General features: G+C 42.4%; 1 long non-coding RNA gene across 2 annotated transcripts in view; it reads left to right on the top strand.

The window, feature by feature from the left end:
- Positions 1–23,496, top strand: part of LOC153910 (uncharacterized) — a 111,435-nt gene extending 87,939 nt beyond the window's left edge. Inside the window, exons 2-3 of one of the 2 annotated variants that reach the window (NR_027312.1) lie at positions 4,958–5,144; positions 21,568–23,496. This is a non-coding gene — a long non-coding RNA (uncharacterized LOC153910). The remainder of the gene's footprint in view (positions 1–4,957; positions 5,145–21,567) is intronic. The other variant, NR_027311.1, reaches the window with a different exon arrangement.
- The last annotated feature ends 1,833 nt before the right edge of the window (positions 23,497–25,329 follow it).

The following is a 25,329-nucleotide window of genomic DNA, read 5'->3' as shown; positions in this document are numbered from 1 at the left end:
AAGTATTTATTATACACTGAGTCATTTCATAATCAAGTGTTGGCTCACATGATTATGGAGACTAAAAAGGTTTACCATTTCTCCTGGTCTGGGCATGATAAGGGCCTTTAACCAGTGGTTGGTGATCAATCCTCCAGTTACAGCACCAAACCTGACCTCGTATTCCAGAAAAGAGTAGGCAGACACCTGCTTTCATTCTTGTACTTGAATTTCGGTGGAACTAGATTCCCACTTTCTCCTTCCAGTCTCTCAAGAGACTATGTTTTGCCTATGTCCACTTACATAAATAGGTACCTAGAATGTGCCACCAAACCTTCTCCAAGTTGCCTCTCAGCCAACCTGTCTGCTACCTCTCACCTGCCATTACACTTATTAGTACTTGTCTGCCTCCCTACCTTTAATTCTTTTCATTTCCCACTGCTGGGCTTTCACCTCCAGGCCCCTCACCCACAACACACACACACACACCCCAAGCTGGGCCTGCCATATATTGTCTCTTTGTAAGAAATGTAATGTACCTTTGACCTAATTCCCTCTTTGCCACTGGCTATTCAATCTTCTTTTAATTTTTTCAATCTTCTGTTCTAAATGATTAAAGTCCCCATGAAAATTACAAATATTGGTTTGAGTTCAAGTATCTACTATTTCACTGTTTTGCTTATTTCTTTTATTTCAAAGTAGTCTGTTGTCTCTTCCTGGAATAACCTAGAACATCCTCCTTCTAGATCAAAACTGTTACTCTAGTTATGGTTTCTCTTTGTGGACCACCCTCCCTGCTCTAAGCTTCTTGCTCTTGTATGTGACCTCCCTTCTCCAAAATTCTGACAGTTTTATGCACCCTGTGCCTTTTTGATGATGTGAGGCTTGCAAATCTTCAGGTTTGTTATGAGGTGAATAATTTAATCACTTAGTATCTTTTTAAAAAGACCAGAGGTAGTTTTATGCACAACATATGTTAAAATAAGTTTAGTTTCACACGTAGATATACATTAAAAAATAATTTTTCTCACAGTCTCTGATTACAGTCTACTTGAGGAGAGAAGACTAGCACACATACATTATTAATTCTGGAACAATATAAGGGTGCTAAGTTAGGTGCTAACTCACATGGTGCTGTCAATAAGCAACCAAGGAGTACAAGGAAGTATTAGAAAAAATAAAAGCAGGAGACAGAAGGAGTGCAGGGAAGTATGAAAAGAAGTGAAGGAGATTGGCTGGTCATTGGAAGTTGGTCTGCCGAGGCATGAGGCACACAAGGCTATCTCAGTTCTTCACTGGACTGTGAAGGAATGATCCTTGAGGACTAGAAGGATTTAAACAGGAAAAGGAAAGAATGGAGAGCATGTAGAGAGAGAGAACAATCAAATAGAGGCAAAATTAAAAAGCAGAGATATGTTTTTGTTTTAGGGGAGAGGGACATTGGGGGATTGGCTGACAAGCATATGGCAGGAAGTGATGGAAACAGGTTTAAACAAGTAGAGTGAGTCCCAGTAATGCAGGGCCGTAACCACCAACCAGGAGGCGTTGAACTTCCGAGGCTAAGGCATAGGCATTATGTGTTGCAAATGATTATGAAGAACGGAGTTTGGAGAATCTGAACTCAGGAGCTGGGGACAGTGGAGAAGTTATTCTAATTACAGATTTATGAGACAATGAGGAGGTTCTTCAGTAATTTTTTATTTAATAAAAGGCTTGAGAAAATTTTCCTCCTAGAATTCCTTTTGATTGATATGAAACTTGGGGTATAGATACAATTGGAATAAGACTTTTTATAAAAGAGGGTAATAAGGGGTTGGCTTGCATAGGTACAAAGGAATCATGTTTAACTTATCCTCTGACATTTTTCAAGTACTCTAGCGGCAGGGGTGGTAAGGGTAATGACAGGTTAGAGTTACTGTTTAGCTACATAGAACCACAAAGCAATGAATATTAAAACCATGCTTTCTCCCCTTATTCCCTTTTCCTATATGTCCCCGGTAGTATGGACCATAAAGTGAGCTGACCTCACAAAGAAGCAGAAAGAAGTGATGTGAGGTTGCAGAATGACCTAAAAAAAGCCATGGTCAAAAATACAGTTCTTCACAATATATAAGGAGATAAAAAACCTTAATATTCATTTTAAATTATTTTATTTTATCAATATGTCACATGCATATTATTATCCTGGCAGCTAATATTTATTTTTAAAAGATTCTGGAATGCTGTTCTTGACAGTTTTCAGAATGGCACACTGGCTGATTGCCTCTTAAAAATGAAACAGTCTTCTTATATTGTAGCCTTTATCAGCAATAATATGGTAGCTATTTTGAAGAACTTTTCATCAATAAGAATGTAGGGACCAGTAATTGATTAGATATATGAATAAAAGGTAGAAAGATGAAAGAGGCAACACCTCTTGGATAATGAGGACAATGAAGATTTCTATGAGAATAAGGCAAATTGGAGAGAGAAATGGTATTGTGAAAAATGGATTTGGTCTTGGTTACACGGAGTTAGGGCAATGTCAGAAAACCTAAGCAGAAGTGTTCAGGAGGCATGCTGAGTACCAAAGAGTGACCATTCTTGATTCTTGACCTGCTATTCCTGCGTGTGACAGGATCTCTGTGCACGCTGGGTTGTTCTTACAGAGTAAGTTGTAAACACTACTTGAGTGATAAATGTCATGAGCTATTTAAACTGGTCACTAGCACATGTATTTCTACATATTTATTTGTTTGTAAATGAATATACCCATATTAAAATAATTGGCTGACTTATGAGCTCTACCTTGTATGTCAATATTAAAAATAAATAAAACAAACATTTTCAGTGTTACCTCAGCAAGCCAGCAACAGTTTTCTACTATGTGATCTACAAATCTCAATTCAGTGGGAATGGAAATAGTATCAAATAGAAAACGTCATTCCTGAAATCTTTCCTGGAGCATATCAGTAATACCAAGAAAAGAGCCAGTAGGCAGGGACAGGTTGCCAGAGTCCCCACTGAGGGTCTACAGTTGGAATGAACTGTCATTAATGAAGGGAACCAATGACCTGAGCCAGGCCATTACAAAGAATTGCAGAGCTTCTCAGAATTTTGTCAGAGTGCAATGAGGAAATGTAGAAGAAATCAAGGAGAAGTTTGAAAAACAGTAAGGGGATGAGTAGCAAAGAGGGTTTAGGTTTAGCCTTCTCTTAAAAAGTTCCTTTCAATAAATTCATGTGAAGAAAATATAATAACAGAAATCCAAAAACTGGAGGACATGTTATCTGGTGAAAAGGATACATTAGACTAAATATCAATACTGAAGTATTAGGGTCTATGTATCTTTAAAATAAGAAATGCTGAATTTATAAATTTATGTTTGTCATTATGCCTAGGTGGGTTTGGGGCTATATTTTGGAGATGATTCCTGTTCATTCAAGAGATAATTTAAATACTTGAAATTTAGCCAAAATCGATTCTAAAAATAATGAAAAATGTATTATCTATGTAAATATTTAAATTACAGAGATCAAAACGTGTTTTAGTAGCTATGATGTAGAGTAAGGAACCCAATGATTAAGAAACGAGTCTTTGAAGGAAGGGAGGAAAATCCCTAGCAGAATATAAGCCAGCAGCCTTGTATCATAGAAACCAACCTTCTAATGTGTCTCTAAAACTAATTTGCTCAAAGTCACATAACCATTAAGAGTGGAACCTAAACCCCTATTTTCTGATTCTGAAACATCAATATTAATTTTTGGCCCCCTGCTTCCACTTTGCTTTCATCTGTAGATCAGATTGAAACAATCTGCCTATGACCTATTCTGTCATTGTTTGATCATCTTTCAAAGCAAAACTTGAAGTGTTTAATATTCCCTGCATATATCAGTTTGTCACTCAGAACAGTTCTACTGGTTCAAATTTGTAACTTCAAATTCAATGATGTGCACCCTCCTTAAATTAATAATTTATCTTTTAATCTTCTTAGAAGGAATGCTAATGCAGACAGACAAACACACTTTATTCTCAATGCCTAGGGCTAAGAGAAAATTAGGAAGTAGCATTAAAGGAACTGTAGCCCTTAGCCTGGTGGACCCCAGATCAGTTAAATGAAATACCAGATGGTTGGCCTACCTTCTTCTTATACCTGAGTGGATTCCTTTCATATTCTCTATCTGTAAGTGACTAATTAGTTTAGTTTTCATTGAGTGGGATCTCCTTTCTTCTACATTCTGATAAGGTATAATAAGTAAAGGAACGGTCCTTAAGCTATGGTAACGTAGCAGAGCTTGTCACAGTTGGACACAGTTCACTCAAAGAGGCAATTAAATTTAGTTTTATAAGGGAATTAGTAGGATTAATAAAAAGCAAAATGTTATGAAGCATCCTGGCATGATCTCACCAACCTTAGAGCTAAGGGGCAAAGGGGATAGGAGAAAAGTTAACTAAAGAAGATATAGTAGTTGTTACTGAGGTTTGCCTGGCCGTAGCTGCAGCCTTCAGTTAACAAACAAACAAGAAATAAAAGAAAAAACTCAAGCCACCGTAGGCATGACCCACAGTGATGGAATCATGCAAACATGACTTGAACTTACTCTTCTTTCTCACCCTGACTTCCTGCCAGTGCCTCCTGTGGCTGAACCAACAGAAGCCAGGTGACAAGGGAGTCTTTGATGTAGACATGGAGGCAGGTCCCTTGGGGCACCCAGTGCTCTTGAAGAGCATGGATCTGAGAGTCCAACAGAAAGGGCCTGGAGCAGAGGATGATTGTGAGTGGGTTAAAGCAGTCATCTTTTTGTGGATCGATATTGGTTATATCCGAGTGATGAATATCTGATCATTACGCCGTAACCTGAAGGCTGTTAGAAGAAGAGATCTGCTGTTAATAACACACTCAGAACCTGAAAAATCAGCATTACCACCAATCTTGAGTTCAGGTTGGGACCATACTTCAAACTTTTCTTTTCTTATAATTTTTTTTTTTTTGAAACAGGTTCTCACTCTGTAGCCCAGTCTGGAGTGCAGTGGTACAATAATGGCTCACTTCAGCTTTGACCTTCCAGGCTCAAGCGGTCCTTCTACCTCAGCCTCTGGAGCAACTGGAACCACGGGTGCACCCCACCACGCCCAGCTAACTTTTGTATTTTTTTGTAGAGACAGGGTTTTGCCATGTTGCTCAGGTAGGTCTGAAACCTCTGGACTCAAGGGGTCCTTACACCTCTGCCTCCCAAAGTCCTGGGATTACAGAGATGAGCCACTGTGGCCAGCCCATTCTAATTATGGATTAGACATGACCAACCCTGGGCCAAAATTGATAGGGCACCTCAGAAGGGAGCCCAACAGGAAGTTGGTAGCTTTCAGGAGGGTGAAAAAGCTGAAAACAGTGAAGAAAGAGGTTCTTTCACAGTCAAGCTTCTTCTAGGGGATTGAAAACAAGAGTGAGATCAAGAGGGTTTTTTTTGTTTTGTTTTTTGTTTTTCCAAATAAGCTGGCAAAGTTTCTTTAAAGCCAATTAAACATACCTCAGATTGAAAATGATTTCAAACAGTGGTTTTCTCATTTCAAATCAGTGGTTTAAGGTTCATTTGTGAGAAATCAATGTAACCACATTTATCCTTGGCCTAGTATTGAAAAAAATATAGTTACAGTAAAGTGATTTTAGTCTTTTGAAACTGTGGGGAACATGAGTGATTCTGACAGAATGGAAATTTCAGGCTAAGTGTATGAAATTGCAATTCAATAATGATGTGGAATTTTTTTTTGGAAGGTGCATTTAATCTAAAGGCATGTAGGTAATTTATGTGCAAAAAATTGTAAATGTGTTCCAGTAAATGATGTGACCCTGAAACTGTCATGGGGTGGGCTTGATCATATTTGCACAAACCAGCACATTTCCAGTGCTAGTGAAATAAATGCAGAGGGATAAGGACTGTGGTGCTGACAGCAAGCCTCACAGAAACCATCTCCAGCAGAGCATTCCCTTTCTGTTTTCCTCCTTTCAAGAAAGGGCATCAAGCGTTCATTTGAAATTTGTCTCTTAATCTGTTTTCCATTGATGGCAGCAACTGAGAAGTTTTCAGCCGGGAAAAGTCAAGTTAAGTCAAACCAGTTTTGCTCACAACAAGCATACAAATTGGCTATTGTTTAAAAATCAGAACTTAACCATATGCTTTGAATTTAGAAGTGGGATTACATACTAAAAGGCTGTATTATCCTTAAATCACCCTGTGTGTGTGTTTGTGTGTGTGGTGTGTGTGTGCATGTGTAGTACTGTTCTCTCAGCACCCTGTCTTACAGATGACCCTCAAACAAGGCAGCATGACAGTTACCACAGATTCTTCTACATTTACCCATAGATATGTCTCTTAGGGGCACTGGAGAACACTGGAGAACTCTCTCCCTGAAAGAACGTGTACAAAGTCGTACAAAGCAAATAGAAGATTTCAATAAAGTATTTTTAATAAATAACACTTGAGTAAGTATGTTCTTTTAAAATAAAAAACATGGTGTGAGAAGAGTGTATCTTGAAGTTTCAGAAATTCCCCATCAGCTACTGTATATATATGAGAAAAATGTTCTACAGTCTAGAAATGAATGCAAGAAAAAGAGTAAAGGGAGATCTCCCTAGACACCTCTTGAAGTGATTATAAGGCTGGATGAATTCAAAAGTAGCTCTAGGTTGGGTGCGGTGGCACATACCTATAATCCCAGCACTTTTGGAGGTGAAGACAACAGATCACTTGAAGCCGGGAGTTTGAGACTGTAAGGTTGTTGTATAGGTTCGAACCCCCAGAGCGCGCCAACAGACAACACGAGGCTGTTTTAATGAGTGCCTGGGTAGAGACAGGCTGAGGCCTAAAATGGTATCAGCACCAAATGAGGATAGGACAGGGGTTTTACGGTCCCCTGGAAACAGGAAGTGTCTCAGTCTGACATGACTGCTACGTAGTACCCAGACGGCTTCTTTCTCGATCTTCAGGGGTACGTGTCTTCCATCCAGGGTAGGTGTCTTCCCAGCGGCTCTCTTCCTGCTTCTGCTATCTTGCTGACTCACGCTGCTGGCTCAAGTAGCCTTGCACCTTGGAACTGGGCCTGAGAAGGGAGGAGTTACTCATCCCTTTAAGCTTTCAGGCCCCGGGGAGAATCTTGCCATTCCTGTCTACTGGTTATAGAAGAAAGGGAAAAGGGACAACTTTCTCAATAATTACTTCAGTCGTGACGTAGGGGGTGGCATGAGCATCTTGGAAAAAGAAAAACTTAATTTTGGGGGTACTCTTGAGAGACGGGTTGGTATCCATCGTGTCGTTGTAGCAGGAACATTGTCTGGATAGTCTGACAGTTAACTGTAGTTTCAACAAGAATTTTAATGGCTTTTATTATCAGTGGGATAACAAGGGGAGAAACAGGAGGAGCCCAGTGATGAAGATTACTGTCCTTACCAGTGTTTTAAATCCTCCTAAATTAGAGAACCACCTTCTTAGAAGATTTGTTGGGTCCCATCCCTTCTAGGTTTGGACTGGTACATGGGCTACTTTTTTGATGTTTGAAGCGATTTCTAGAACTGCTTTTCCATTATCGTCTATGTTAAGACAGCAGTTAGAGATATTAAACTTACCACACACCCCACCTTCTTCTGCTAATAAGCAGGGTAGTGCTAGCCTGTTTTGATAAATTGCTGCATGCATTTGATTTTGGTGTTGTGTGGGCATTTCCAGGGCTGAGGCCGTTTGGTTACTGATTATCTGTAGAACCACCTGTAGTCTAATTATTCTATTTAGCATATATATGGGAGTGCAATAACCCCATGAACCATCCTCAGCGCAAGTGGCAGGACCATAATATTCAATGATCTGTTGCGGAGGCCATTCGTCCTCTTGCCATCTTTGGCTTCCTCCTACCTTTAAGGATCATTTTTCTTTGTTTAGGTTATTATATACAGGGACTCTGAGGGTGTTGCCCGCCGTTAATGTTTTGGAGGAAGGAGTAGCCTTGGGGGTGAGCTTGACCCTGGTGCGATGGACCCAGTCGGGGAGTCCTTGGACTGTCATTGCAGATGGCATGCTGAGTATCACAGTGTAGGGGCCTGTCCACTTCAGTTGTAGCTATTGGTGAGGGTCAGGTTGGCAGATAAACACATCTGTGCCTGCAAGACAGTTACGTTGAGAGGACAAGGAGGTGTTGACAAGGAGAGGCATGGCCTCATCTGCTGCTTCATGAATGAAAGACTGTGTCTGGATTAAGAAGTGGAGATAATTCATGAGTGGCTCAGAGTCTGGTAAGGATGGAGGCCCTAAAACAAAAGTTCGGCCACCCAAGATTTCAAAGGGACTATAAAAAGAGGGTTCTTTTGGTGTTGCGTGGAGTCTCATGAGGGGAAATGGGAGATTTTTTTGTCCAAGACAGCTGGGTCTCTAGAGCCAGCTTGGTGAGTTGGGCTTTAAGGACAGAGTTAATTTTTTCAACTTTACCTGAAGATTGAGGCCTGTAGGGTGTGTAGAGAACCCATTTTATACCTAAGGATGTAGAGACACCTTGGGTAATTTGGCTGATGAAGGTGGGCTCGTTATCAGACTGGATGGATGTTGGGAGTCTGAAACGGGGAATTATATGCATGATGAGAGTTTGTGTGATGACATTTGCACCTTCTGAAGTTGTTGGGAACGCTTCTACCCACACGGAGAAAGTACAGACAAAGACTAGAAGATAGTGGAGCCGTTTATCGGGTGGCATGTGAGTGAAGTCTACTTGCCAATCTTGCCTCAGTACCTGGCCCTGGGCTTAGTGGCTAGGAAAAGGTGGAGTCAGAGGGAACTCTAGAGTGATACTGAGTGGCAGATAGAGCAGGACTGGGTAATCTCTCAAACACGGCTGGAAAGGTGAGGACAAGTGAGGATAGGTCGGAGAAGTTGCAAGAGAGGTTTGTACCCGACATGGAAAGAGTTGTGGAGGCTTTAGTTGACAGATTGTTTGAGAGTGAGGAAGAACGAAGCACCCTTCCTTGACATAACATGGTCTTTGCTTTTGAAGGTTTTGGGATCAGAAGTCCTGCTTTTCTTCTGAGGTGTAAGGAGGAGAGAAAAAGGACAGGGACAGAACGTGGCCGGGTTTAGACGGGAGATGGTTAGCATGGTGATGTGGGAAGTTTCTATGAATAGAGCATACAATTGGAGGAGCTGTGGGGCAGAGATAAGACAGTACACTGAGGTGAGCTAGCATGTCTTTGATGTTATGGGTTGAATAAACTGTTAGGTTGGCATAGAGAGATAGTTTTAGGCTTTCAAGGGTGAGGACTGCAGTTACCGCCAATGCGCCAATGCTAAGAGGCAGGCAGGCCATCCGAGAACTGTGGCTTCAAGCTGTTTAGAAAGGTAGGCAACAACCTGGAGGGTGGGTCCCTTAGACTGGGTTAGGACACCTAGTGAAATTCCACGCCATTTCTCAGTATAGAGGGAGAAAATTTGGTGAGGTCTGGGAGAGTGAGGACAGGAGCTGAGGTGAGAGCCTTCTGGAGTAGACGGAAAGGTTGGGTAATAGGCTGTGCACGGTTTGAAGATTCATGGAGAGGGCCTTTAGCAGCTTGGTATAACAGTTTGGCAAGTAGAGTGAAGGAGGGAACCCAGAGCCTAAAATATTCCACTAGTCCTAGAAAAGAGATAATTTCTTGCTTAGTTTGTGGAGACAGGAGGGACTGGAGGAGGGATATGTGGTTGGTTGTGAGCCCTTGGGTTCACGGGGTAAGAGCTAGGCCTAGATAGGTGACTGAGGGGTTGCATATTTGTGCTTTCTTAGGGGAGACCCAATACCCCATTCTGCCAAAAAGTTTAAAAGAGAGAGATAGTATGGGCGTTGCAGTCTCTTGGAGAGGGGCTACACAGGAGCAGATCATTAACACATTGAGGGACAGTGGACGGTTTTAGGGATAAAGTACAGAGGTTGTGAGCAAGGATCTGTCCAAAAAGGTGGGGGCTGTCTCTGAAACCTTGAGGTAGTACACACCAGGTGAACTGACGTGAAAGTTGGGTGTCGGGGTTTTCCTAAGTAAAGGCAAAGAGGTTTTGGGAATCAGGGTGTAAAGGAATTGTGAAAAAAAAAGCATCCTTTAGGTTTAGAACAGAAAAAGGGGTGGTATTGAAGGGAATTGTGGAAAGCAAAGTATATGGATTAGGAACTACTGGACATACTGGGAGTACAGCTTGGTTAATGAGCCTGAGGTCCTGGACTAAGCGGTAAGTTCCATCTGGCTTTTTAACAGTTAGAACTGGTGTGTTAAAAGGGGAGCTTGTTGGGCAGAGTAGGTGACTGGCAAGGAGGCAAGAAATGATAGGCTTTAGGCACATGAGAGCTGCTTGGAGGATGGGATACTGCTTCTGTGACAGGAACTACGTGGGCTCTTTAAGGATAATGCAGATGGGGGTGTGGTGTTCTGCGACTGAGGGTGTGAAGTATCCTAAACAGTGGGGTTAACTACAGATGGGGAATAAGGAAAAGTTGCATGGTTTAGGGTGGAAGGTTGGAGGAGTAGAAGGAAGTTAGAAGTACTGGAGGGGACAGGGTAGATGCATTGGGTATATGGCAATGTGGAAGTGGAGAGTAGTGTGGAGTTTTGAAAGGATGTCTCTGCCTAGGAGCAGAGTTGGGCATGAAGGCAGGACTAAGAAAGGGTGAGTGAAGGAAAAGGTGTGCAGGGAGAAGAAAAGTGGAGGGTTGGCTCAGGGTTTGGAGACTTGTCCATCAAGTCCTACAAAAGAGACCTGGGAGGACTCAGTGGGTCCTGAAAAATTAAGTAAAGCACAGTAGGTTGCCCTGGTATTAATTAAAAAAAAAATACTGGCCTAACTACCACCATCAGGGTTCCCCTTGGCTCGGATGAAGCAATGGTAGTTGCCAGTGCCTCTGTTCCAGGGCACCATCAGTCTTCAGCGGCAAAGCCAATGAGATCCAACTGGGAGGTTTTGACCAGCTTGGGAAGGGATGGGGGCAGTCCTTGCAGGGGCCACTCACAGTCTGACTTCCAGTGGGGTCTTTCTCAGAGGGGGCATGGCCTGGTGGGCTTACCTGGGTTTGGGCATTGTCTGGACCAGTGGCCCTCATTGCCGCACTTGAAACAGGCACCAGGAGGAGATGGATTGCTAGGAGGCTTCTGTGTGGAGCTGCAGCCCTGTGGGCCTGCAGGGCCCCTGATGGCAGAGGCAAGCATTTGAAACTCTGCCTGTTTTTGCCTTTTACTTTCCTCATCATGATTGTTAAAGACTTTGAAGGCTAAATTAAGAAGGTCTCGTTGTGGGGTTTGAGGACCGTCCTCAAGCTTCTGAAGCTTGCACTGAATATTGAGGGTGGATTGGGAGATAAACTGCAGGTTTAAGATACTGGTTCCTTCTGGGCTGGCTGGGTCTAGGTTGATATACTTTCTCATGGCTTCAGTTAAATGAGAGAGAAAAAGGCTGGGTTTTTGTCAGGACCTTGGGTGATTTCTGAAAGTTTTTCATAGTTCACTGCTTTACGGGCACCCTTTTTGAGTCCTGCAAGGAGACACATAATCATGTGGTCTCGATGGTGGCATCCAGGGGCCCCGTCTTGATAATCCCAGTAAGGGTCCTGGTTAGGGACTGCCTCTGCACCAGTAGGCTGGGCAGGAGCTTGGTGATGAATTGTATCAGCATGCACCTGAGTTAGGGCCCAGATACGGTCCCCATCTTCTGGGGTGAGGGTGGAAGAGAGGACAATGTAGAGGTCATGCCAAGTTAGTTCATAAGACTGGGTAAGGTACTGAAACTCCTTAATATAAGAGGTAGGGTCTTCTGGAAATGAACCAAGTCTTTTGTTAATTTGAGAGAGATCAGTGAGGGAGAAAGGAACATGAACTCTAACAATACTTTCAGTTCCTGCTACTTCCTGAAGGGGGCACTCTAGCACAGGCGCTGAAGTAAGGTTGGGGCATGGGCGGAAGATGGCGCCTGAGTGAGTACGGGTGGGAGAGAAGAAAGAACCTGGAAGTGGTTCCTGCTGAGGCTTTGAAGGGAGAAGGGGGTTTGAGTTAACAGGCAGTGGAGGATAGATAGAGGCGTAAAATGGTGGGATGGGTTTACAAGCCTCAGGAGAGGGCGGTGGGGGAGGAGAATGGGTATAGGCAATACTAAAATTGTCCTGAGGAGGGGACTGTGTAGGAAAAGAAGTGGATACAAATGACTGGGAAGATGGCAGCTGGGAAGATGGCAGCTAAGAAGATCGCAGCTGAGAAAATAAAGAGGAGGCTTATGGGGGTAAAGAAGACAGTTGAGAGGGAGAGGTGGGGGCTGGGAGGGGTGGACAGCAGTCTGCTGGATCTAACGAGGAAAAAGAGGTAGGGTTGGGAGGAGAAAGGTGATCAGGGTGGAGAGAATGGAGGAGAAGGATTTGAACAGGGGAGCAAGAATTGCAGAGGTCGGGTTGTGATCCGAGGGCAAAAAGGCCTGGACATAAGGAATTTCTCCCCATTTCTCCATTCATCGGCAATAATTGCTTAAGTCAGTTAAAATTGTAAAGTTGAATGTTCCATTTGTGGCCCATTTGGACCCACTGTGGCCAGACAGAATTGCAAAAAAGACAAGGCCCTTAGTGTGGATATTTTGCCTGAGGACTAAGGTTTGCAAGTTTTTTATGAAGCAGCCTAGAGGGCTGTTTTTTTGGAATGGAGGACCGGGAGTTTCCCATAACGGAGGGTAGGCTTGGGAGAACAGGGAAAAATGAGACCGTCCTGGATGGCCAGAGGGAGACGATAAAAGGAGCAATCGTCACTGCTGCCTTTTTCGTTCCCGGAACGGGATCAAATGGCTTAGAGGCACCCCCCTAAGACCAGATGATCAGTGAGTGCCTGGCACATGCGGGAGCCTTCTTGGGCCAATGTTGAATTTTTGGACAGGAGAAACCAAGAGAGGCTGTGCAGATTCTCCTGTTAACTGGGCTCCTGGGAAATTTACGAGTAGGTGAGATCAGTGACCGATGTGCATGCACAGAGAGGCGACTGGAGGCTGAAGAGCTTCCTTTGTTTGGCTGCTGTGGCCTGCTCTCTGGGGTGGAGGGGTAGGTCCACGGGGAATGCAAACGTAAGCCCCTCCTGGATTTCAGCACCAGATTGTATTGGTTCGAACCCTGAAAGCATGCCAACAGACAACATGAGGTGATGTGGAGCAACATGCTGTTTTAATGAGCACCTGGGTACAGGTAGGCTGAGGCCCAAAATGGCGTCAGCATCAAATGAGGATGGGGCAAGGGTTTTATGGTCTCCTAGAAACAGGAAGTGTCCTAGTCTGACATGACTGCTACGTAGTACCCGGATGGCCTCTTTCTTGCTCTTCAGGGGTACGTGTCTTCCGGCCAGGGTAGGTGTCTTCCACCTGGCTCTCTTCCTGCTTCTGCTATCTTGCTGATGCATGCTGCTGGCTCAAGTTGCCTTGTGCTTTGGGACTGGACTTGAGAGGGGAGGAGTTACTCATCCCTTTAAGCTTTCAAGCCCCAGGGAGAATCTTTCAGAGAGCAGCCTGGCCAACATGGCAAAACCCCATTTCTACTAAAAATACAAAAATTAGCTGGTGTGGTGGTACATGCCAGTAATCCCAGCTTCTCAGGAGGCTGAGGCCCGAGAATCACTTAAGTTTGGGAGACAGAGGTTGCAATGTCAAGATCGCACCACTACACTTCAGCCTTAATGACAGAAAAATGTCTCAAAAAAATATAACAAAACAAAAAACAAAACAAAAAAAGTAGCTCTAGAAGTGATTACTTTATAGTCTAAATCCCAGGCAGATTTAGACACAAAGCTTACGTTTCACTTTTTTTGTTTCCCTGAGCAGTGTGCTTATATATCTAGCATAAGCTCTGGGGTTAGAGTCCAGAGATGTGTGGCCATGCTCCATGCTCAGTGAGCCCTGGCTCTAGCAAGAGGCAAACATGTTGCTGCCCTTCCCTATGCCCCAGACAATGTATGTTTTCAGATGCTGGAAGTGAGGCTTATAGAAAATAACCCCATTGGGATATTGAACGTGCCAGTTAATTTGAGGTTGTTACATTACTTCATAACCAGGATTGTGGTGAAAAAAAATGGTGTGTCCTAAGATGACCCACCCCAATTCTACCTTGTTTTAGGGAAGTCACTTATTTCTCCATGCTCACAGCCCCTGGGAACCACCATATATTACCCTTAAAATACAGGTGTACCCTTTGCTCAATTTCTTACATGGATTATAGGTGAGTCATTGCATTAGCCTGTCTTCACACTGCCATAAACATGCTCTCTGAGACTGAGTAATTTATAAAGAAAGGAGGTTTAACTGACTTATAGTTCTGCATGGCTGGGGAGGCTTCAGAAAACTTACAATCATGGCTGAAGGTGACAGGGGAGCAGGCACCTCTTCACAAGATGACAGGAGACAGAGAAGAGCAAAGGGGAAGAGCCACACATTTATCAAACAACCAGATCGTGTGATAATTCTATTACAACAAGAGCATGGGGGAAACTGCCCCCATGATGCAATCACCTGCCCACCAGTTCCCTCTCTTGACACATGGGGGTTACAATTTGAGATGAGATTTGGGTGGGGATACAGAGCCAAGACATATTATTCAACTCCTGGCCTCTCCCAAATCTTATGTCCTTTTCACATTTCAATACGAATTATGCTTTCCCAACAGTCCCCCAAAGGTTTAAGTCATTCCAGCATTAACTCAGAAGTCCAAGTCCAAAGTCTCATCTGAGACAAGGCAAGTCCCTTCTGCCTATGAGCCTGTAAAATAAAAAACAAGCTAGTTACTTCCAAGATACAATAGGAGTACAGGCATTGGGTAAATGTTCCTGTTCCAAGTGGGAGAAATTGACCAAAACAAAGGGGCCACAGGCCTTACGCATGTCCAAAACCCAGTGGGACATTCATTAAATCTTAAAGCTCCAAAATCTCTTTTTACTCCACGTCTCACATCTTGGGCACACTGATGCAAGGGGTGGGCTCCCATAGCCTTAGGCAGCTTCACCCCTGTAGCAGAATTCTGCCTGGACATCCAGGCATTTCCATACATCCTCTGAAATCTAGGCAGAGACTCCCAAAGTTCAACTCTTGTCTTCTGCACATCCACAGACCCAACACCATGTAGAACCCATCAAGGTTTGGGGCTTGCACCCTCTGAAGTAACAACTTGAACTGTATGTTTGCCCCTGTTAGCAATGCTTCGAGCTGGAGAGGCTGGGATACAGGGCACCAAGTTCAGAGGTTGCACAGAGCAGCAGGGCCCTGGACCCAGCCCACGTAACCATTTTTGCCTCCTTGGCCTCCAGGCCTATGATGGGAGGGGCTGTGATGAGAAGAGTTAAGTGGAAGAGCCTCACACTTATTAAACTATGAATTCCATCATGAGAATAGCATGGTAAACTGCCCCATGATCCAATCACCTACCACCAAGTCCCTCCCTTGACACATGGGAATTACAATTAGAGGTGAGATTTGGGGGAAGACACAGAACCAAACCATATTGGTTATTGACCTATAACCCTTCCCAAACCTGTTGTTTAACCTTGAGGCAGAAGCATGTGCTCCAAAGTCTTTGCAGCTTAGTAATGTTGCAATTATCCAATAACATTTTACAAATGTTGGATCAATGATGTGAGAATGGTTGGGACACTGCCTTATTGGGATACTGCTCTGGGGATTCCCCATTCTCACCCACACTAAGCAATTAGAGATGCCTGGTCAGAAGAGTGTGACAGAAACCTGTGCCCACTGGGGGTTTGCTTCTCTTTAATAGGGAACAGTGCCAGCTGCATCTCTCAGGCCAAGCTTGAGGTGAGCAGAGAAGTTAACTTGGGTGTGCATCCTTTTCCCCTTCCTCACAATGACTCCGATGTCTCTGGCCCTGGGCATTTACTGGACCTTTGGAGAAGTGGCAAGGGGAAGGATGAGAATGGTCAGAGGAAAAAAGTGGAAACTTAGCTACTTAGCTACAAACAGAAAGATTACAGCCTTCCCCTAACAGCTGGATGGCACAGTGAATGTCCATCTGACATCCATGGGCAGAAATGGAAGGGCATGGCTGCTGATAATGTTATAGGCTTCAAAGAATATTTCTGGACTCTGGCCCTCTCCTCTGAATCTTGGACAGTTTCTTCTCTCTGAAAAGAAACACTGAATTAAATTTCTGGAATACTTTTTTATTAGAATACTGGTCACATTCTATCATCAAGAATTTTGGGTTAAAAAGTTAAGCAATGGTTTTGACAAGAATTCCCAAAGCATTATGGCTGTGGATTCCCAAGATGCAACCTGTGGTTACATTATGGCTGGATTCAGACAGAAATCTGGATCTTTAATTTTTTAATGAGACCAGGAAGTATAGATGGGTTGACCCTCCTGTGGCTTCCATGGCAATTTATATTTTTCAACCACTTATCATATTGCATGATTGCTGAATTTTTCACCTCATAGCATGCATTAAAAATTAAAACATTTGCACCAATCATTAGGATAATTAGATAGTGTTGCCCACAGTTAGAGGCAATTGGTCTGGAGTTCCGGCCATCCGGATCCAAATGGTTTCCCTGGGGCTGAGCTTACTGAGTTGAACTTTTTCTGGTCTTTAAGAACCTCTACATTGCCTTCAAAGAAATGAAGACGCTAGCTGTTTGTGTCTTTTTGTAGACTCAGTGTCCCTCTTTTATATCTATGGTGGGAAACATGGACAGGTGAATGATGCTCTACAAAGAGGTTAAAAGTATCATTGAGAAGAGACTTGAATTGACCCGATGACAGATGGATCCCCATCTAGGCAAGGTTCACTTACACTATGACTCTCCTCTTTCCCATCCGATTCACCTTTTCCTTAGTTGCTGTGTGCATGCTACCTTGAGAAGACAACCATCACTGCAGTTCCTCTAGCATCATGGAGTCTCCCTATATCTTGATGTTTCAAGAGACAATGAAACCATATAATGCCTTCTCTTTCCTACATTGCATCTGAAAGGCCTAATTGTGACTTTCAGATATTCTACTTTAATTGGAGAGCATGATAAACATAAATGCTCATAAAATGCAATTAGTTCCAACCACCTGATGATATTTAACTTGAGGATGAAGACCTCAGAATTTGATTCTATATTAGTCAGGATAGACCATAATATCAAATTTCATTTGTCATTAAGCTACATGTCCATCATAGTTTAGCAAGATGATTCTCCTCATCACAGGCCCTCAGGAATTCAGGATAGTGGAGGACCCACCTCCACACATGCTTCCACAATACAGGGGTAGGGAAAAGAGAGTGTGCTAAATCGCATGCTGGTCCTTAAAGCTTCTGAACACATATAACACAAATTTCTTCCCACTTACATTTTATTGGATAAAAAAAGTCATTTGGTGATGACTATGTTCTTTAGATGGTGAGGAGACACTGAATTTTTGTGAACAGTATTATAGTATACCACTAGCCGCAGGGCCTCGTTAAAATAAAGAAGGCATTCATGATTTCATTCAACAGACATTTTTGAACACCTATTATCTATCGGAACTGTTTGAAGTTCTTACAATATATCAAAAAACAAAACATACAAAGATCCCTGCTCTCATGGAGTTTATATTTTAGTGACAGAAGAAAGACAATACACAATGAACATAATGTGCAAGTGAATTATGTAGTTCTTGTCTCAATACAGCCTATTGGTTCTGTTTCTCTGAGAACCCTAACTCAGGGTTCGTTTTTGTGGGGGATAAGTGCTACAAAAAAAAACAAATTGTAGAACAAAGGTGGGGGTTGGGGAGTGGTGACCTCTGATCTGAAGTGTCTGAGGAAGAGGAGTGACAATTTTAAATGGAATTGTCAATGAAGGATTCACTGAAAAATTCATGTTTGAACAAAGGCTTGAAGTAGTCAGGGAGGTATCCAATTGTATATCTGATCATATGGAACCTCTTAAGTTTCTACTTTGAATGAGTTAGAAATCATTGATGGGTTTTAAACAGATGAGTGATGTGACTAACATGACTTCTGTTTTCAAAAGGAATTGCTCTGTTGAGCATGAACTGTAGGGTGCAGGAGGAAAATGAGGAGACTCATTGGAAAGCAATTTCAGGAATCCAAGTGAGATAGGATGGTGGCTCAGACCAGGGTGATAGCACAAGAGGTAGCGGGAAATAGAGTCTGGATATTTTCTGAAGGCAGAGCCAACAGGTTTTGAGGTGACTGAATATGGGATGTTGAAATTTTTGTCCTAAGAAAGTGGATGGCTAGAGATGGAGCAGACTTAGATAGAGTAGGTGCTATGGTTTGAATGTCCCTTCTAAAATTCATGTTGAAATTTAATTGCTATTGTAATGGTATGAAGAAGTGAGATATTTAAGAGGTGGATTTAATGCCTTGATAAAAAGGCTTTCAGGAATGGGTCATCTTTTGCCCTTTTTCCTCCTGCAATGGGATGGTGCAGCAAGAAAGCCCTCACCAGATGCCAACCCATCAGTCTTGGACTTCCCAGCCTGCAGACCTGTAAGCCAATACATTTCTGTTCATTGTAAATAACCCAGTCTCAGGTATTCTGTAATAGCAGGAAAAGATAGTTCAGTTTTGCATATGCTAAGTTTAAGATGTCTACCAAACATCAATGTAGAGATACTGGTTAGGGAGAATATATAAATCCGGGATTCAGCAGAGAAATTGGAGTTGGATACATGCATTTAGGAGTTGTCAAAGTGTAGATAGTATTTAAAGCCATGGAATTGGATCAGATCGATATGAGTGTAGATAATTAGGAGAATAATATCCAGGACTGAATCCCAGAGCACATCAAAATTAAAGGAAGTCATTTAGTTTTATAGGGCTGGTGTGGATCCAGTGTAGTGTTTATTTGGTTCTTGTGTTTTTTTGGTTTTTTGGTTTTTTTTTTCCTTTAGGTTAACCTAAACTTGTATTGCGTGGGAAAATAAATTATCAACTGAATGGATTTGGTGCATGAAAAACCATTACTGCCTGCCATCACTTGAAAATTGGACTTATTAGTCAGGGTTCTCAGAGAAACAGAACCAATAAGATATATGGAGAGATATATATTTGTTTGTTTATCATGGGAACTGGCTCATGCAATTATAGAGGCCAAGAAGCCCTGTGATCTGCCATTTGCAAACTAAAGAACCAGGAAATGTGGTGATGTAATTCATTTTGAGTCTAAAAGCCTGAGAATCAGGGGAGTCAATGGTGTAAGTCCTGATCAGAGTCTAAAGGGGTGGGGTCAGATGATGTAATCCCCAGGCTAAATCCAAAGGCCTGAGAACGAGATACTCGTGTCTCAGAAGAAGAAGAGTAAAACATGAATCATGAAACACAAATCATTTCCCACCAAAATGAATCAATGACCTTTCCAGGGTAGAAAATATTCAATGTAGCCGGCTTTCCACCATGTGGCTGATTGGCCTCAAGGGTTAATACCATACCTGAGTGGGGATGAGTGTCCTCACTGGCCTCTGTTGCTAGAAAGAATATTTGTCAGCACCAGTACCTGTGTCACTGTTGAGTAGTGGGAGTGAATATTGCTAAATCCATGCACAGCCTCCACTCCTACTACCAGGGCTATGCCATTCATGAACTGTTGTTTGAACACTGGCATCTAATGACAGAGGCTGGTCAATGCCAACCGGCCAAATTATTCTTCTGTGTCTATTGGTGATTTAGTGGGGATATTCTTTTGAAGTGCATATTCTCTAGTGATCATTAAGGTGTAATGCAAGTATCTCCCTGCTCAAGGAGAGAGAGGGTGCAAACTAGCCCACCCTCCATTTTTTTTTTCTTGTTGTTATTGTTCTATCTGGGCCGTGAACAGATTGAATGATGTCCTTCCACATTGGTTAAGGTGGATCTTCTTTACACAGCATACTGATTCAAATGCTAATCTCTCCCTGAAACAGCCCTCACAGATACATTTAAAAATAGTGTCTTACCAGCTATCTTGGCATCTTTAATCCCAGTCAATTGACACATAAAATTATCCATCACAAGCTCCAAGGCAATTCAAGTTTTTTGAAATGAGATCTGTGACTAGGTTCTGAGGATACAAACGTAAACAAAAGAGTTCTTATCTTAGTCCATCATATAAAAAATATATATATTTGTGATAAGTGAACAGAGAGGGAACCTTCTCTACCTTCTCTGCTGCAGATTTGTCAGTGAGATCACTATCTTCTCATAGATGGATTGAAAAACCTGGGTTTTATCCTTTATTCTTACGTCTTAACTCAATATTTCTTGTGGCCAAGATCTATTGAGTCCATCTTAAAAAATATTATTGAATCTACCCTCTTCTTCCATTTTTGATAGGGCAGTCAGTGTCATCTTTTTTAAAAAAGGCAAAAAAAAAAAAAAACAAAGAAAGAATGGATGAAGGGAATGAGGGAGAGAAGCAGGCAGAGAGGAAGGGAGGGAAGAAGAAGTGCTTGAAGCCCTTCAGTAACTTCCCATTAGCCTTGGGATAGTCTCTATACCTTTTGTTACCTGTTCTTGATGACTCTCCGAACCTATGTTAGAGTTCTGCAACTATTTCTTCCCTGGCTTTTATCCACCATGGCTAACAGTTTTATCTAATCTTTATCCTAAATACTTTCCAGGTCTCAGTTTAAATGTCAATTCTGTGACCTCATTCTTATACTCCCACCAGACTGGAACAAGTGTCCTTGATATTTGCTTCCATCAGCCCATTTACTTCTCGTGTCATTACAAATATGATACGTTATTATATTTGGACTCAGACACGTTGTGTTGCTCATCCAGATATACTCAGAGCCTAGCATTCTCTGAAGTATTCAACCAAAAGTTATTAAAAATGTGAAGTAATAAATGATCAAAAGGACATTGAAGTTTTATTTCCGTTGTATAGAGTTTTTGTTTTATAATGGGGATTAAAGCTTTATATAATGGAGATATAAAGTGTTTGCTTTATAATGGGGTGAAGCTATGATTTGTACTGGAAAAGACTAAAAACGTCAGGGCAACCACTGTGGAGAAAATGCCAAGTTTTTCAAAATGTTTGGACCTGGGAAGAATATGGTAATTCCCTGTATCCTATTTCCTCTAAAATGTGAGCTGAAGGGGGATGGTTTCGATGTGCCTAGCATGAGTGAAAGTTTTGCACATACCCAGGGCACCTCCCCTTCTTCCTCCTCCTCTGCTTTAGTATTTTACAAAAAAAAAAAAAAAAAAACCATTATTTTATTATTTATCTTGGAGATGCCACAGAGAAGCATTATTTTTTTCTTGAATTCATATACATTTATTTAGAATTACTTGCCTCATTCTGAAAGCTGTTTCTTATCCTCCAGTTTTTAATTTGCTAGAAATTTTAGAAAAGATGATCCATAAATGTATCAAATAATTCCTGTTTGAAGTCACTTAAATATCAGCATTACTGTCCTGCCAAATATTTCAGATTTGAAACAAAATATTTTGCCTTTAGAGTCTTCAGAGGCATTAGTAGAAACTAAATGGGAATATGCAATTCTTACCTGCCACAGCTTTCTGGTTGTTCAAGTGTTCTTGTAAAATGACTAACCAATATTTCAACTTTTCTCTCTTCTTACTTCCTCATTGCCTCCCTTCCTCTCTTAGTCCCAATATCATCACCAGATGAGAATATGTATGGATTCATGAACAAGAAAATTGCTTAACCATTTGATCAAGAGAGATTGGAAAATCAAGATGAAGCAGGTCTGGGTGAAAGAGCTGTGAATGGATTAATGGAACAGAAAGGAGGTGTGGAGATCCTTCTATTACATGTTAATGATCACCAGGGAACATCCACTACAATAGAACATCCCACTAAATCACCAGTAGACACAAGAGAATATGTGGCCAGTTGACTTTGGCCAGCCTCTGTCATTAGATGTCAATGTTCAAACAACGGTACATGAATGGCATAGCCCTGGTAGCAGGAGTGGGGGCTATGCATGGATCCAGCAATACACACTCCCACTCCACAACATTGACCCAGCCACCAAGGCTGACAAAATATTCAACCTTCCAGCAACAGAAACCAAGGATGACCCTTATCCCTGCCCAGGTATGGTATTAGCCCTTGAGACTAACCAGCCATGTGGTGGGAAGTTGAATATCTTCTACCCTGGAAAGGTCATTGATTCATTTTAGTATGAATTAATTCATGTTTCTGGGTTGGATTTGCTGTTCTTGCCTGCAGGGCCTCAGCTGGCACCAGCATCTAAAGGCTTAGAGAGTTAGTGATCCACCAACATGGCATCTCACATAACATCCCATCAAACCAAGTGACCCACTTTACTAGAAATGAGGTGCACGAGTGGACAAGCTCCAGCTTGACCCAAGTGGAACAAGCTCTACTAGTCCCATCAGATCATGCACCATCCAGAAGCTGCCACACTAACAGAGTGATGGAAAGGCCTGTTGAAGGCATAGTGGATGAGCCACACCATTGCAAGGTAATGTCATCGGAGGTTTATTTAGCATGTGTATTACACCCAGAAGAATGGTGTCCCATCCTTGCAAGGTAATGTCATCATCAGATTCTCCTGGGTGTAATATACATGCTAAACAAACAATCATTATATGATGCTGTGTCCCCAAGAGGTAAAATATGTGGGAGCTAAGGAGTGGAAGCAGCAATAGCCTCACTTACCATCAATACAATTGACTCCTTAGGGAACTTGTGCCTAGGCTCTGTGGGTTTAGAGGTCCTGGTGCCCAAAGGAGATGTGCTTCCATCAGGGAATACAACAAGCATTCAATTGAACATGAGGTTAAGGCTGCCACTTGGGAGCATCAGGCTCCTCATGCCAAGAGATCACCAAGCAAAAAGAGGAATCACCGTACCATGAGCATTAATCAATCCCATTCTTCAGAAGGAGATGGGACTGCTGACACAAGGCCACAGAGAGGCCCCCAGATAACTTGCCTGGGTGTCCCTTAGAATTCCCTTGCCCATTTTTTAATAATAGATGGATAAATGCAACAGTCTCCACCTAACAAAGGCATAATGATGGGACTTCTCAAGAGTGAGAAGCTAGGTCATTCCACCAGCCAAGTAGACCAGCAGAGGTACCAAAAAGAGACAGGAAATCTAGACTGTAAAGTAAAACAGGAAGATTCCCCAGGAACAGAAGCCAACTGTGATCCTAGAGGAGCTTCTCCTTAACATGCAGAAAGAAGTGGATCCATGAAGCACAAGAGCTGAGCTGTCATGGAAACTGCACATCTCAAATTTCCCATCAGGACTGAAGGACCTAGTCCCCCACAGGCTGAAGACAGTCACCTTACCCAACTTCATGCTCTCTTCCAGGGGCAGCCTGCATCCAACAACTTGTCAGCACAGGACTATAAAGGCCTTACCCTTTGCCTCTGTGAAGCATCCCACAGAGAGGTGCATCCACCTCTGAAGGTACATCCCAGCTTCAGGCTCCCAGTCACTTTGGGCTTACCCAGCCTCTTCGTCTGCCCTGCTTTTCTCCCTCCCCTTCCTTCCTGCAGGTTTGGATCCTGAGAGCACTCCCTAATAAACCTCATGCCCACAAATCTCTATCTTGGAATCTGCTTCTTCGGAACCAAATCTGGGACAGATCAATTTACAAAGATAGAAGGGTTTAGGAAGGCAAAAGGGTTTCTGTTACCATGTCTAGGCCTGAAGGGACAAAGAGAGGAACTTGGAGCAAGAGCCATATGGAAAAAACAATCTGAAAGATTGTAGGGATTCTGGCAGAAGCACAAGGCCAAGCCCTGGCAATCCCCACCTCACATCCCTCCGCTCTTTCATCTCCCCTTAGTGCCTCCCATTGTAGAACCAAACTGGAAGTGGTGGTCAGTGGATTCCTTTGTCTGTTTCTTATAGGTCAGCCTCCTGGGGCAGAGAGCATGTTAGAGTGTGGATTTGGAGGTGCAAATGAAAGTTACCCTGTAGCCCACTTGACTCTGTAGATTTCTTTTTCTCTTACAGAAAATAAATTAAATTATGTATCTTCTTTAGAGATAGGGTATGACTTCTATTTTGAGTTATCTGTGTCATTTAATTAATATACAAATAAAATGACATGACAGAAAATACTTACTTGAATACAAAGGACAAGTAATTAGATCTTAGATAATAAATCCATCCCTTTAGATAAGACTTTAGGCAAATGGATTTATAAGTAAAAGCAATAGGAAAACTTGCTACCTAAGCATGAAAAATGATGTTCCTGATAAATTCCTGGAAGGAAGCTGGTGTCAGCCCCCAACTCCTTTCTAGGCCTCTACCAGCCTATATTCCAAATGGCCCTGCCATGGCTCTTCTTTTCTTAAGATTTGATCTTTCTCCAGGCATGGATGAACCACATGTAAGACATTTAAACAGCCCAGGTGCCAAATTTAGTAGGGCTTAGGATTACACAACATTCCCAAACCTGGGATCTGAAGGGCCAGGTGCTGACCAACAGGATCCCAAATTCATCCCAGGGGCTCTTTGACCGATAACCAGAATGTGAATTCAACTGCTGGATGACCCCATGCAAAGCTCTCCCTGGCGCTGAGTAATCCAGTTCCCTTTTCATTAAAAGCCATCTACTTTCCCAGGAGGGGGAATCCTTCTGCACAGCCCATTCCTATGACTAAGCTCTGTGTTCACAAGGAAGATCTCCTCTCAGTCCTGCTATGCCCCCACTGCTGAGCTTGGAACCCCAATACTAAGTATAGCCTGTGTCACAATTGTTCTTGCTGAGATCTTCTACTATTGCCTGAACACAACTCATTCCTGATCCCCTCTAGTGAGTATGTCCCTGGCCATTTTTCAGCACTTTTATCCTCTTTTCTTGCTCTGAGTTTTCATGGACAGGGTATCTAGGAAAAGGAAAAGGAAGAAGGAATAAATCAAATGCCTACAGACCTTCAAAGAGTGCTCCAAAGCCAGTGTAAAGCACTGGGGAACAGTGAGGATTAGGGCAAAATATTTCTTATAATGTTCTGAGTTTCATGAGTTGAAGGCTTTAGTGCTTAATGTCCAAATGATGCAAATGAAAACACCCTTTCATTCTTCTTTTCCTTTTTAAAAAACAAGGAAGAAGACAGTCAAAGCCTCAGTCTATACTATATTTACACTTGACTCAAATGCATTAATAACATTGTAGACTAAGGAGGTATCTGGGGGAAAAATAGTTTTGTGATTTAACTGTAGTGCAAATTTTACCTAGTAAAAGGTTTTTGATATTTATCCTCAGAGAAGATCTAGTTTTCCACCTGAGTGGTGCTATATGCCATTACAAGTGAAGGATGAAGATGTGAGGACAATATTTAATTCATTCTTCTCATTTCCATGTCTTTGGGACTGTTGTGCTAACACTTAGCTGTGATACCAACAAACGCCAACTTTGAAGA

Source organism: Homo sapiens, chromosome 6 (genome assembly GCF_000001405.40).
Source record: "Homo sapiens chromosome 6, GRCh38.p14 Primary Assembly".
NCBI lineage: Eukaryota > Metazoa > Chordata > Mammalia > Primates > Hominidae > Homo > Homo sapiens.
The sequence above is the reverse complement of the archived record's forward strand: the minus strand, read 5'-3'. Positions and strand labels throughout refer to the sequence as shown.